Here is a 14,802-nt window from a genome sequence, read left to right as displayed (position 1 = left end):
CAGGCTGGCCTCAAACTCCTAGGCTCAAGTGATCCTCTTGCCTTGGCCTCTCAAAATGTTGGGATTATAGGCATGAGCCAGCCACTGCCCGGCTACTCCCTCCAAAATCTTGATGACAGCCTATGAATTTCAAAATGTTTCATGCTTGCTGTGGGAGAGGGTTCTGTGAAAGTCAGAGAGGGGGTGGAGAGATCACATAGAAAGGAGAATTAGGGCCAGGCGCGGTGGCTCATGCCTGTAAACCCAGTACTTTGGGAGGCTGAGGCGGGGGATCATTTGAGGTCAGGTGTTCGAGGCCAGCCTAGCCTCGAACATGGTGAAACCTCATCTCTAGTAAATATACAAAAAAATTAGCCAGTTGTGGTGGCGTGCCTATAATCTCAGCTACTCAAGAGGCTGAGGCAGGAGGATCGCTTGAACTTGGGAGGTGGAGATTGCAGTGAGCCAAGATTGCCCCTTGCTCTCCAGCCTGGGTGACAGAGTGAGACTCCATCTCAAAACAAAACAAAACAAAACAAAAGTAAAAAGAGGCTAGGGGTGGTGGCTCATGCCTGTAATCCCAGCACTTTGGGAGGCAGAGGCAGGAGGATCACCTGAGGTCGGGAGTTGGAGACCAGCCTGACCAACATGGTGAAACCCCGTCTCTACTAAAAATACAAACTTAGCCGGGCATGGTGGTGCATGCCTGCAATCCCAGCTACCTGGGAGGCTGAGGCAGGAGAATCATTTGAACCTGGGAGGCGGAGGTTGTGGTGAGCCGAGATTGAGCCATTGCACTCCAGCCTGGGCAACAAGAGCGAAACTCCGCCTAAAAAAAAAAAAAACAAAAAACTAGAAAAAGAAAAAAGAAAGGGGAATTAGGAGACAAAAGATTCGCCGAAATCTCAGAGGGAATGCTTTGGCTTTCCACAGGCCCTGGATTTGGGAGGCTTCCAAGCAAAGACCCTGTCCCCTGTCTGACATCAAGATTACACTAACATTTCAGTAGCCTTGACATACTGATGAAAGGATCTACCCAAACACAGTAAAGGAGAGAGAATCTGGTTCCCTCATAATCGTCGTTATTGTAGCCCATGAACATTCAAGGCTGTAGTTACCCAGTGTCCTTGGATATAGAATTTACTTTCCTAATATGGGAGCAAGGCCTTTCCTAGGATGCATTTATTTCATCAAAAATTTATATCAAAATATCTGGAGAAAACATTTGGTTCTCATAGTAAAGAGCAATTTTGAAATGTTTACCTTGCAAAGTCTATATATTAGAATGGAGTCAATATCTAAATACAATCTGTTGTATTTTGTTCCAATTCCACAGCCCACTTTTGGCCCAGTCACCTGGGTAGTGGCAGATGTCGCTGTGGGTGATCTCATTCTGTCACTTCATGTCTCTGCTTACAAATGTGTCCCCATTCACATATAGGGATGTCACTGACCCCGCCTTGCTGGGGCTGAGCACCAGCTTGATCTCCTCATCCCAGGGCGTGGCTGGCACTGCTCCATCTGCACCTGGTCATATGTCAGCAGGTGTCTGAGACAGAGGCAGAGGTGAGGAAGGTGACACGGGTCCCCTTGGCACCGTGCTGTCTCCCACAGAGCTCACTGACCTTTTGCCATCCATTCCATACCACACACAAAAACAGAAGCCATCTGTTCCCTTCTAGAGTACATCTTCGCATCCCGAGTTTTCCTGGGAGAGTTTCCAGGAGTTTGAGCTCGCCGAGCATGTCATTACCTCTAGGCTTTCAGAAGCAAAGGCACTGATGGGGCTCATGTATGAGAACCCACACAGGCTGGGGAGTGTTTGGAGCAGATGTGAGCAGGGCAAAAATGGAGGGCATTCCACGGCCGCAGCAGCCACAATGACGGAGCACTTGCTTCGTGCCAGGCGCGGTCTTCAGCCCTTATGTGCCTTGTCGTTTTCTTTGTTTGTTTGTTTCTTTGAGACAGAGTCTGGCTCTGTCACCCAGGCTGGAGTGCAGTGGCGCGATCTCAGCTCACTGCAAGCTCCGCCTCCAGGGTTCACGCCATTCTCCTGCCTCAGCCTCCCGAGTAGCTGGGACCACAGGCGCCCGCCACCACGCCCGGCTAATTTTTTTTTTTTTGTATTTTTGGTAGAGACGGGGTTTCACCATGTTAGCCAGGATGGTCTCGATCTCCTGACCTCGTGATCCACCCGCCTCCGCCTCCCAAAGTGCAGGGATTACAGGCGTGAGCCACCGCGCCCAGCGTGCCTTGTCTCATTTACTCCTCATAATGACACCATAAGAAAGGTAGGAATAGGAATCCCGTGTTCTGATGGGACAAGTGGGGTTTAGAGTGGGCCCAGTACTCGCACAACGCCATACTGCTAATTCAGAATCAGGTCTGTATGACCCAAAGCTTAGTTCTTAGTTGTACTAGTCTGCCTTTTTTTTTTTTTCCTGGATTTGGGGTACCATGAGCTATGGCCAAATCTGCTGTCATTTCTTTAGAATCTTGGGGAGGAGGAATGGAAGTTCTCACAGCTTTTTATTTTATAAGGTGAGCTCTTCTCAATTTTGGAGACTCCGGGTCTCTGGTGCTAGGTAGAGTTCCTGATCCAGGACTGGGTGGCCTGAGAAGAGTCTGCCGCTGCTTGGAGTCAGGGCATGTGGCGAGCTCTCCAGCTTCTGGGCAGCTTTTGGTCCAGGAGATCTTCCGAGGTATGTGCAGGAAAACCCCACCGGAAGTGCCTTATTGAGGAGGGGCTCTCCTCACGGCCCCAGTAGGGTAACAAATAAAAATACAGGATGCTCAGTTAAATTTGAATTTCAGGTAAACAAATACTTTTTAAGTATGTTGGCCGGGAGCAATGGCTCACGCCTGTAATCCCAGCACTTGGGAGGCCAAGGCAGGCAGATCACTTGAAGCCAGGGATTCAAGATCAGCCTGGCCAACATGGTAAAACCCCGTCTCTACCCAAAATACAAAAGGTAGCCAGTTGTGGTGGCAAACGCCTGTAGCCTCAGCTATTCGGAGGCCGAGGCACAAGAATCACTTGAACCCAGGAGGTAGAGGTTGCAGTGAGTCAAGATGGTGCCACTGAACTCTAGCCTGGGCAACAGAGTGAGCCTTTGTCTCAAAAAAAAAAAAAAAAAAAAAAAAAAATATATATATATATATATATATATATATATGCAACATCATTTAGGGCTTACTTACATTAGAACATTATTTCTTGCTTATCTGACACTGAACTTCAGCAGGGCATCCTGTATTTTACCTGCAAGCCCAGACCCGGGGTCCTCTGGGACTAGCCTGAGCAGCTGTGGATGGCGACAGGTGTCTGAAAATTCACATCTCTAGGCCAGGCCTGAGGATCTGTCTGCGGCTGCCCAAACCTTTGCTGGGGCCCTGGGTGGCCTGAGAGCATCTGCAGATGCACAGGCCTGGCAGGAGCTGCACAGAGACAATCATAGAAGGGCATCTTTGCATGAAGGAGCCTGGGTGCTGGGCTGCTGAGGAGGTGCCTCTTGGTGCCATGAGGATGGAACGACCTAGGAATAAGAGAGGCAAAATAAAATGCAGTTAAATGCCAGTCTGTCAGCGTATTAATTTGCAGAAGCCCCCATAACAAAGTACCACGAATAGGTGCCTTAAACAACTGACATTTATTTTCTCATAATTCTGGAGGCTGGAAGTCCAGTGTCAGGATGTCAGCAGGGTTCTTTTTTTCTGAAGCTTCTCTCCTTGGCTTGTAGAGGGCTGCCTTCTTGCTACGTCCTCACCTGGTCGTCCCTCTGTGAGTGCTCTCTGTTGCCCAGGCTGGAGTGCAGTGGTGTGATCTTGGCTCACTGCAACCTCTGCCTCCCAGGTTCAAGCGATCCTCCTGCCTCAGCCTCCAGAGTAGCTGGGACTACAGGCATACATGCCTGGCTAATTTTGTATTTTTAGTACAGATAGGGTTTCACCATGTTGGCCAGGCTGGTCTCCAATTCCTGACCTCAAGTGATCCACCAGCGTCCGCCTCCCAAAGTGCTGGGATTACAGGTGTGGGCCCCTGTGCCTGGCCCTAATCCCCTCTTCTTATAAGGACAGCACTAGTATTGGATTAGGGAACACCCTTACGACCTCATTTTAACTTAATTATCTCTTTAAAAGCCCTATCTCAAAATATAGTCCCATTCTGAGGCTTTAGGGGTTACTATTTCAATATATGAATTGGGGAAGGAGGTGCACAGTTCAGCCCATTACAGCCAGAGAAAAGTTCGGGAAACGTGTGGAGTGGTTTGTGCAGGGGAATAGTGCCCTGGGGACCTGGTTCATACCCACAGAGGCCACAGAGGCCAGGCTTGAATTGCAGTGGAAGGTGAGTCTGGATTTAATTTGATCAGCCTGTGATACTCCGGGAGCATGGAGTCATGGGAGGCTTGTGAGACGCTGCAAGACCGTTTTCAACCCGACTCCTACCTTCCTGAGAGGATGGCATGAGATCATTTCCCATCACTTCTCAGGTTTGAGAAAGAAAAAGAAAACTTTTAATCTGAGGAATGTGAGTACTTTTAAAAGATCAGGCCCAGAGAAACATTTAAAATGTGACAGAAGCTGCCTCTCACTCCCCCTTGAGCTAAATAATTTCCTCTTGAAGCCACTTGCTATGTGGGCTCTAGACTCACTGATGCCAAGTAGCCATAAAATGCCCTGCACTAGCATCAAATGCTATAGCTCAGCAACGTAGAGCCAATCAGCATCCAGTGTTCTCCCCGTCCTCCAGTGAGGAGTCCTGGCAGACAACCTTGTATCAGCCCACTCCTTGTTCCTTTTGCCTTTAAAAACCTACTTCTGAGGCTGGATGCGGTGGCTCACGCCTGTAATCCCAGCACTTTGGGAGGCCGAGGTGGGTGGATCACAAGGTCAGGAGATCGAGACCATCCTGCCTAACACGGTGAAACTCCGTCTCTACCAAAAATACAAAAAATTAGCAGGGCGTGGTGGCGCCTGTAGTCCCAGCTACCTGGGAGGCTGAGGCAGGAGAGTGGTGTGAGCCCGGGAGGTGGAGCTTGCAGTTGAGCTGAGATCGTGCCACTGCACTCCAGCCTGGGCAACAGAGCGAGACTCAATCTCAACAAAACAAAACAAAACAAAACCTACTTGTGAAAAAAAAAAACCACTAAAATAAAGAAATAAAACTGAAAGAGAAAAACAAAGAAGAAAGAAAAATAAAAAATAAGAAAAAGAAAAAACAAAAATAAAAAAAATTAAAAAGATAAAAACCACCACAAAAAAATTTAGGCTGTGCACGGTGGCTCATCCCTGTAATCCCAGCACTTTGGAAGCCCATGGCGGCCAGATCTCTTGAGGTCAGGAGTTCCAGACCAACTTGGTCCACGTGGTGAAACCCCATCTCTACTAAAAATACAAAAATTAGCCGGGCATGGTGGCGTGCGCCTGTAATCCCAGCTACTTGGGAGGCTGAGGCATGATAATCACTTGAACTGAACCCGGGAGATGGAGGTTGCAGTGAGCAGAGATTGTGCTGCTGCATTCCAGCCAGGGCAACAGAGTGAGACTCTGTCTCAAAACAACAACAACATAAAGGCCTGCTTGTAACAAAGGCCTAATGGTGCACTCCCCAAGGCAGCCTGGAAGTGTGTCCTGGGCTGCTCTCCTCACTTCGGCTCATGTAACCTCTTTACGTTCTATTTTATGCCTCAGCCCTTTCCTTTTAGTTCAACAGGTTCTGGTGATGTATGGGCCTTCCTCCCTTGCCCTCCCTCATGTCGGGCACAGTTGCAGGTGGTAAACTAGTGGCCGCATGGCAGTAGCTCTTCAGTGACAGCATGTCCCAACACTGGCACTGCAGTCACCTGACCCCTTTTGCTTCAGCATTGCCTGGTGCGAGGGTGATGGGGAGCTAGCATCTTTGCCTACTTTTCCTTTCACCATCTACGTAAGTAATAACCTGAGTTATGGCTTGTTGTTTCTACCCTCTGAGTCTGTCTGTAGGCCTTGCCTTGTGCCTTATACCACAGGAGGCTGGAAGCGTTGACAGCCTACATACAAGGAGGAAGCACCCAGTGGAGAAGAGAGAAGGAGCAAATAAAACATACAGCAATTCTTTTTTAATTTTTCTTTTTAGACGGAGTCTCACTCTTGTTGCCCAGGCTGGAGTGCAATGGTGCGATCTTGGCTCACCACAAACTCTGCCTCCCAGGTTCAAGCGATTCTCCTGCCTCAGCCTCCCTAGTAGCTGGGATTACAGGCATGTGCCACCACGCCCGGCTAATTTTGTATTTTTAGTAGAGACGGGGTTTCTGCATGTTGGTCAGGCTGGTCTCAAACTCCCGACCTCAGGTGATCTGCCCGCCTCAGCTTCCCAAAGTGCTGGGATTACAGGCATGAGCCACCGCACCCGGTCCACATACAGCAATTCTTAAAGGGCAATGAATGGGGTAGGGGAAGGACCAGCTCCTATGCAGTCATGCCAAGGTGAGGGGACAAGCGAAAGACAGTTCGGGTGTGATCAGAGGTGGTGGAAACTGAACACACTCCTGCCCGGATGATTGTGCAGACCAGAATATGCCACCCCAAAATATGCCTCTTTGGCATGGTGACCTAAAAGGAAGAAGCTGAGGCAAAATTAACAGAAGTAGAGAGATTGTTTGGGCCAAACTTGGGGGTGGCAGCTGGGCAGCATAGATTCAAGTTGCCCTGAATATACAGTCTGATGAGTAGCGGTTACAAGTGGACTTTTAAAGACAAAGAAGAGGCAGTTTCTGAGTTGTTTCTCAAGAATTGACATTAAAACAACATAAACTATTGATTGATTATACCTTGTTCTTTGTATCACAAATTCCAGGAACATGAAGATAAAGGGTAAAGCAGCTAGTTAGGAACAAAATGGCTTTAAACAACTACCGCTAGGCGTGGATGTGTGGGCAGCAGGACTGGTCCGTACTCACGTCTTGGTGGGCCTGCATACCTGACATAGCTCAGACTGCTCTGAGCTACTTTTCTTTTCTCATTTCCCCACTGTTGATCAAAAAGCTTCCCATGAAAGTGTCGGTGACCGATCTCTGCTCAGGTGAGAGTGATAGACATCCTTCATAACTCGGCCCTGGGAAGGCTTATTCCGAGATAGTTCTCAGTCAAGCCTCTAATTTATACAACTGATGTTGCTTGTTGAATCATCTCTAGTCTTCAGAATTTCATGCTTTTGGTTTTCTCAGAAGAAGTAAAACAACGAGAAATACATAGTAAAAAAACCTATTCATTTGGAGACTCAGTCCAAATTGTAGGAAAATAATAAAAACTCCTAACAATAGGCAGGGTTAGAATAGAATAACAGGTGTACTATGGTTTTCTTCTGAAACATAACTTTTCCCTTCCTGCAGTCCCCGTTTTTCCCAAAATAAATCTTACTAGGACTGATGTACTTGCAAATAAGTGTTAGTATTATATTTGGGCTGATTATTTGCATAAAGTACAAGAATAGTGATCAGCCATATAGACTCCTTTAGGTCGGCTTCGCTGAACCTTTCATAAGGAATTTCAAACCAGACTCTTAAAAGCCTCAAGGCTAAGAAGCCAAGCCAAGGATTCACTATTAGACTGTACCTGTAATACCTGTGCAAAATGGGTGAGTTCCTCTCTTCTCAGGGTCTCCAAAACATCTTGATGTTTTTGGGTCCATCAGAAAGTGACTTTTTTTTTTTTTTTTTTGAGACAGAGTCTTGGTCTGTTACCCAGGCTGGAGTGCAGTGGTGTAATCTTAGCTCACTGCAACCTCCACCTCCTAGGTTCAAGCAATTCTCGTGCCTCAGCCTTCTGAGTAGCTGGCATCACAGGCATGTGCTACCACGCCCGGCTAATTTTTGTATTTTTAGTAGAGACAGGGTTTTGCCATGTTGGCCAGGCTGGTCTCGAACTCCTGACTTCAAGTGATCTGCCTGCCTCAGCCTCCCAAAGTGCTGGGATTACAAGCATGAGTCACTGCACCAGGCCAGAAAGTAACATTCTTTACTTACTGCAAGATCAGAAACCTTCAAAGGGAACTGTGTACACAAGGTACCAGGCCACTTTTTCGAAGGAGATTTTAATTGACTTTGTAAAGTCAAAATCTCAGTTCCTCAAAGCAGTCTCAAGATATCTGAAAATATGCTATGAGAGTGAAGGCCTTGGTAAAATACCTAGTGTCTTGACTGGGTCCTGTTACATAAAACAGATTCTTATTGAATTTCTACAAATAACTAGATTGCCATAAAATACAATACTCATAGTTTCCAAAGTTTAGAGAAATGAGGTAGAGAGAAAGACAATTGTTTCAATTTTGTTCCTAAAGTTATATTTTACCTAATTGCTATAAGTTATAAGGAGCTCAAAAGAAAAAAGTTTTATTGACTCTAGGAAACAAATATAAAAAGATTCAGCAATGTTTCTAACAAAAAGTCACAAAAATCATTCCAGTCCTCTATCAGGTCAGTCCCATGCAATGAATTCTTGTTCTGCTTGATGTTGGGTTAGCAATCTTCATGAATGCATCAGTTTATCAGAGTTCTAAAAGTTTTTACTTAGTCCAATGATATGATCTCCAAAGTTATCAGAAACCCATATCCGGCCGGGTGCAGTGGCTCACGCCTGTAATGCCAGCACTTTGGGAGGCCGAGACAGGCAGATCACAAGGTCAAGAGATCAAGACCATCCTAGCCAACATGGAGAAACCCTGTCTCCACTAAAAATACAAAAATTAGCCAAGCATGGTAGTGCGTGCCTGTAGTCCCAGCTACTCAGGAGGCTGAGGCAGGAGAATCGCTTGAACCCGGGAGGCAGAGGCTGCAGTGAGCCAAGATCGTGTCACTGCACTCCAGCCTGGTGACAGAGCGAGACTCCGTGTACAAAAAAAAAAAACACACACACCATATCCAAGAGTACTTGTCAGGGCCCTTTTAATGAATGTAAACTGCTTTTTAAGACGAATCAAAGTAAAATAATAATTGTTTGTGGTTGACAAAAGACAGAGAAGTCATGGTTAAAGATGCAATTGACAAGGAATGTGGTTATTTCTATGACATACAACAATTTAGGCCAGGTGCCTAAACTGAATTATCACTTGGGCTAAATGACCTACTATTATTTTACAGGCTCATGCCTATAATCCCAGCACTTTGGGAGGCCAAGGTGGGCAGATCACCTGATGTCAGGAGTTCGAGACCAGCGTGGCCAACATGGTGAAACCCCGTCTGTACTAAAAATACAAAACTTAGCTGGGCATGGTGGCGGGCGCCTGTAATCCCAGCTACTTGGGAGACTGAGGCAGGAGAATCACTTGAACTCAGGAGGCAGAGGTTGCAGTGAACCGAGACCACACCACTACACTCCAGCCTGGGCAACAAGAGCAAAACTCCATCTCAAAAAAAAAAAAAAAAATTAACCATAATTATGTCTGACAATATCAAGACATATCAGAATTTTAGGAATCTCATATAATTTTGGGACACATATTAATAATGTATTCATACAAATATAACTCAAAGAAAGTTGAACACCATTTTTTATTTGACAATGTTTTCTGTATGATTTTAACATAACAAATAGCCTAACATGTACCTCTTAGCCTTCCAGGGCCTCCATTTGCAAAAGACTTGATTTTAGAATTTGAAATTTGATTTGGAAAGCATGTCAAATATTTAAGATTAAAAATACTTGATCAAAATAGAATCATAGGGCTGGGTGCGGTGGCTCACGCGTGTAATCCTAGCACTTTGGGAGGCTGAGGCGGGTGGATCACTTGCGGTCAGGAGTTTGAGACCAGCCTGGCCAACATGTTGAAACTCCATCTCCAGTTAAAAAAACACAAAAATTAGCTGGGCATGGTGGCACTTGCCTGGAATCCCAGCTACTTGGGAGACTGAGGCACAAGAATCACTTGAACCCGGGAGACGGAGGTTGCAGTGAGTCGAGACCGTGCCACTGCACTCCAGTCTAAAAAAAAAAATCATAAGTCACTGTAAAATAATAGTAGGTCATTTAGCCCAAGTGATAATTCAAAGATTTCAGAAAGCAAAAACCTTTGTTTTTTGATAGAGAGGAGACTCAGTTTTCCAAACAATCAAAAGACCTGGGGGACAGGATGGGAAGGGGGTGAGGGATAAAGGACTACAAATTGGGTTATGTGTATGCTGCTTGGGTATGCGTGTACAAATTGGGTTATGTGTATGCTGCTTGGGTATGCGTGTACAAATTGGGTTATGTGTATGCTGCTTGGGTATGCGTGCATCAAGATCTCACAAATCACCACTAAAGAACTTACTCATGTAACCAAATACCATCTGTTCCCCAATAACCTATGGAGATAAAAAAAATTTAATTAAAAAAATCAATCAATGTTTATTTAAAACAACAATAAAAATTGTTGATTTAAACAGCAACAACAAAAACCTAATAAAGATAGCATAAGACTACTAGAATCTGTCTTTCCCTCCTTTTTTTTTTTTTTGGCAATTTACTCAAAAGATGAACAAAAATCTTTTATTGCCAACCCCCCCCTTTTTTTTTGAGACAGAGTCTCACTCTGTCCCCCAGGCTGGAGTTCAGTGGCATGATCTCGGCCCACTGCAAACTCCACCTCCCAGGTTCAAGAGATTCTCCTGCCTCAGCCTCCCGAGTAGCCAGGATTATAGGCACATGCCACCACTCCTGGCTACTTTTTATATTTTTAGTAGAGACGGGGGTTTTGCCATGTTGGCCAGGCAGGTCTCGAACTCCTGACCTCAGGTGATCCACCTGCCTCGGCCTCCCAAAGTGCTGGGATTACAGGTGTGAGCCCCATGCCCGGCCTATTTTCTCTCTCTCTGTTTTTTTTTTTTTTTTTTTTTTTTTTTGAGATAGAGTCTCTCTCTGTCACCCATGCTGGAGTGCAGTGGCAGGATCTTGGCTCACTGCAACCCCACCTCCCAGGTTCAAGTGATTCTCCTCCTGCCTCAGCCTCCCAAGTAGCTGAAATTACAGGCGCCCACCACCATGCCTGGCTAATTTTTGTATTTTTAATAGAGACAGGGTCTCACCAAGTTGGCCAGGCTGGTCTCGAACTCCTAACTTCAAGTGATCTGTGTGCCTCAGCCTCCCAAAATGCTGGGATTACAGGCGTGCGCAACCGCACCGGCCTGTCTCTTATTAATACCATATGAAAATCATGTTCAAAGAGAAAACCAAATTCTATCTTTGTGTCAGTATATTATTCATGCTAAAGCTAATTATTTTTTTGAGAAAGGGTCTCACTCTGTGGCCCAGGCTGGAGTGCAGTGGCATGAATTTGGCTCACTGAAGCCGTGACCTCCTAGGCTCAGGTGATCCTCCAATATCATCAGCCTTTGGAGCAGCTGGGACATAGTTGTGCATCACCATGCTTGGCTAATTTTTTTTATTTTTTTATTTTTAGTAGAGACAAGGGCTCACTATGTTGCCCAGGCTGGTCTCAAACTCCTGGGCTCAAGGGAGCCTCCCATCTTGGCCTCCCAAAGTGCTGGAATTACAGGTGTGAGCTACCGAGTTCAACCCTAAAGCTAATGTTAATAAAACCTAATAAACAAATTAATTCATCTAATCTCAGTCAGCATTGACCACACAGGATAAGATTTCCGTAAACCTTTTTTTTTTTTTTTTTTTTTTTTTAGACAGAGTCTAGATCTGTCACCCAGGCTGAAGTGCAGTAGTGCAATCTTGGCTCACTGCAACTTCTGCCTCCCGGGTTCAAGCAATTCTCCTGCCTCAGCCTTCTGAGTAGCTAGGACTACAGGCGTGCGCCACCACGCCAGGGTAATTTTTGTGTTTTTAGTAGAGACGGGATTTCACCATGTTGGTCAGGCTGGTCTCAAACTCCTGACCTCAGGTGATTCACCCGCCTTGGCCTCCCAAAGTGCTGGGATTACAGGCGTGAGCCACTGCGCCCAGCCATACAAAATTCTTTTCATGAGATTAATCTTTCATAAACCTTCAACAACTTGGAAACCTTCAGCTTTGTCCTACACTTCCTTTCTTATATTGGCATTCCACCTTAAGATAAGAATTTACCACTGGGGACAGTGGCTCACTCCTGTAATCCCAGCACTTTGGATCACCTGAGGCCAGGAGTTCGAGACTACCCTGGCCAACATTGTGAAACTCCCATCTCTACTAAAAATACAAAAAAAAAAAAAAAAAGAAAGAAAGAAAAAAAAGAAAGAAAGAAATTAAAAAAAAAACAAAACATTAGCCGGGTGCGGTGGCGGGCACCTGTAATCCCAGCTACTCTACTCGGGAGGCTGAAGCAGAATTGCTTGAACCCGGGAGGCGGAAGTTGCAGTGAACCAAGATTGCGCCACTGCACTCCAGCCTGGGCAACAAGAGTCAAACTCCATCTCAAAAATAATAATAATAATAATAATAATAATAATAATAATAATAAAGGGGAAAGGGAAGTACCTTTTGTTGTTGTTGTTGTTGTTTGTTTTTTTGTTTTTGAGACAGAGTTTCGCTCTTGTTGCCCAGGCTGGAGTGCAGTGGTGCGATCTCAGCTCATCGCAATCTCCACCTCCCGGGTTCAAGTGATTCTCCTGCCTCGGCCCCGGAGTAGCTGGGATTATAGGCATGCGCCACCACGCCCAGCTAATTTTGTATTTTTAGTAGAGACGGGGTTTCTCTATGTTGGTCAGGTTAGTCTCGAACTCCCGACGTCAGGTGATCTGCCCGCCTTGGCCTCCCATAGTGCTGGGATTACAGGCGTAAGCCACGGCGCCCGGCCTGGAGTTTTATTATTACTCAAATCAGTCTCCCTGAGAATTCGGGGATCAGAGTTTTTAAGGATAATTTGGTGGGCGGAGGCGGGCAGTGAGTCGGGAGTGCTGCCTGGTTGGGCCGGAGATGAAATCATACGGAGTTGAATCTTGCATTGAGTCAGTTTCTGGTTGGGGGACACAAGCTCAGATGAGCCAGTTTATTAAACTGGGTGGTGCCAGGTGAGTCATAAATGCAGGATCTGCAAAATACCTCAAGCACTGATCTTAGGTTTCATAATAGTGATGTTATCTCCAGGAACAATTTGGGGAGGTTCAAAATCTTGCGGCCTCTAGCTGCATGACTCCTAAACTATAATTTCTAATCTTTTGGCTAATTTGTTAGTCCTACAAAGGCAGTCTAGTCCCCAGGCAAGAAGGGAGTTTGTTCTGGGAAAGGGCTGTTATTGTCTTTGTTTCAAAGTTAAACTACAAACTAAGTTCCTCCAAAGTTAGTTCCGTCTACACCCAGGAATGAACAAGGACAGTTTGGAGGTCAGAAGCGAGATGGAGTTGGCAAAGCTAGATTTCTTTCACTGTCTCAGTTATAATTTTGCAGTGCTGGTTTCAAGTGGAAGAAAATAGAAGAACAAGTGTTAAAAGAGGCAATTTGGGGAGATTCTAAGCTTTCTAAAAGGCCAACAAATTTTACACTTTTTTCAGCAGAAATTATGCCAACAAGGTAGGAAGCAAACAGAGGAATCAAACACATTTAAAAAGGGGTTTCAGTCAACTAAGAAAATTCCCAGAAAGAAGATCCAAAAGAGGAAAAAAGCAGGAGGGACTTTTTGTCTTTGTCTAAAAAATGATAGCCCAAGTGTCAGCTTTTAATTATGCTGAGTTCCAATCCTAAAGCTGTAAAAGCCATGGGTGGTGGCTCATGCCTACAATCCCAGGACTTTGGGAGGCTGAGGTGGGAGGATCATTTGAGGCCAGGAGTTCAAGACCAGCCTGGGCAACATAGTGAGACCCAGTCTCTACAAAAAATCAAAAAATTAGCTGAGTGTGGTGGTGCACACCTGTAGTCCCAGCTACTCAGGAGGCTGAGGTGGGAGGATCGCTTGAGCTCAAGAGTTCAGGCTGCAGTGAGCTGAGAATGGCCCACTGCACTCCAGCCTGGGCAACAGAGCAAGACCCTGTCTCAAAGAAAGAAAAAAATAACCCAAAAAATAATATTTTCAAATCTCTTATTATCAGATTTCAGGAAGGACAAACATAAAGGACGTCTTCCACTTGGTTGGTTTGGGTCTAAAACCAGTATTTTTTTTTTCCCAATTGTGTGTGCAGATGAATTATTTTAGACATTTCAGAGAATCTCTCTTTTGGCTACTGCTGCTTGTGGCTCTCCTGGGTTAGATGGTTTCACTTACCTAAACATTTACAAGAGAATTTCCATCAGCGCTATACATAAATCCAGCCGGTGTCTCTAAGAAGAGCACTTAGATTTTGAAGCTTAATTTCCCATAATTGATGAACTATTCTGTTTTGTTTTTTTTTTTCTTTTCCGAGACACAGTCCCGCTCTGTCGCCTAGGCTGGAGTGCAGTGGTGCGATCTCAGCTCACTGCAAGCTCCACCTCCTGGGTTCACGCCATTCTGCTGCCTCTGCCTCCCCAGTAGCTGAGACTACAGGTGCCTGCCACCACGCCTGGCTAATTTTTTGTATTTTTAGTAGAGATGGGGTTTCACCATGTTAGCCAGGATGGTCTCGATCTCCTGACCTTGTGATCCGCCTGCCTTAGCCTCCCAAAGTGCTGGGATTACAGGCGTGAGCCACGGCACCCAACCTAGAATTGGTTGTTGTTCTAAGCAATTAGGTTTCGAGGTGGTTTGTTATACTACAATAGACAACAGAAGTCATGAAACTTCTTCCACATTGCTAGAGTATTCTTTCTCTTTTTTGAGATGGTGTCTCTCTCTGTTGCCCAGGCTGGAGTGCAGTGGTGTGATATCGGCTCACTGCAAGCTCAGCCTCCCAGGTTCACGCCATTCTCCTGCCTCAGCCTCCCGAGTAGCTGGGACTACAGGCGCCCGCC

The sequence above is a fragment of the Homo sapiens genome, chromosome 1 (assembly GCF_000001405.40).
Source record: "Homo sapiens chromosome 1, GRCh38.p14 Primary Assembly".
Taxonomy (NCBI): Eukaryota; Metazoa; Chordata; class Mammalia; order Primates; family Hominidae; genus Homo; species Homo sapiens.
Note: the sequence above shows the minus strand (reverse complement) of the source record.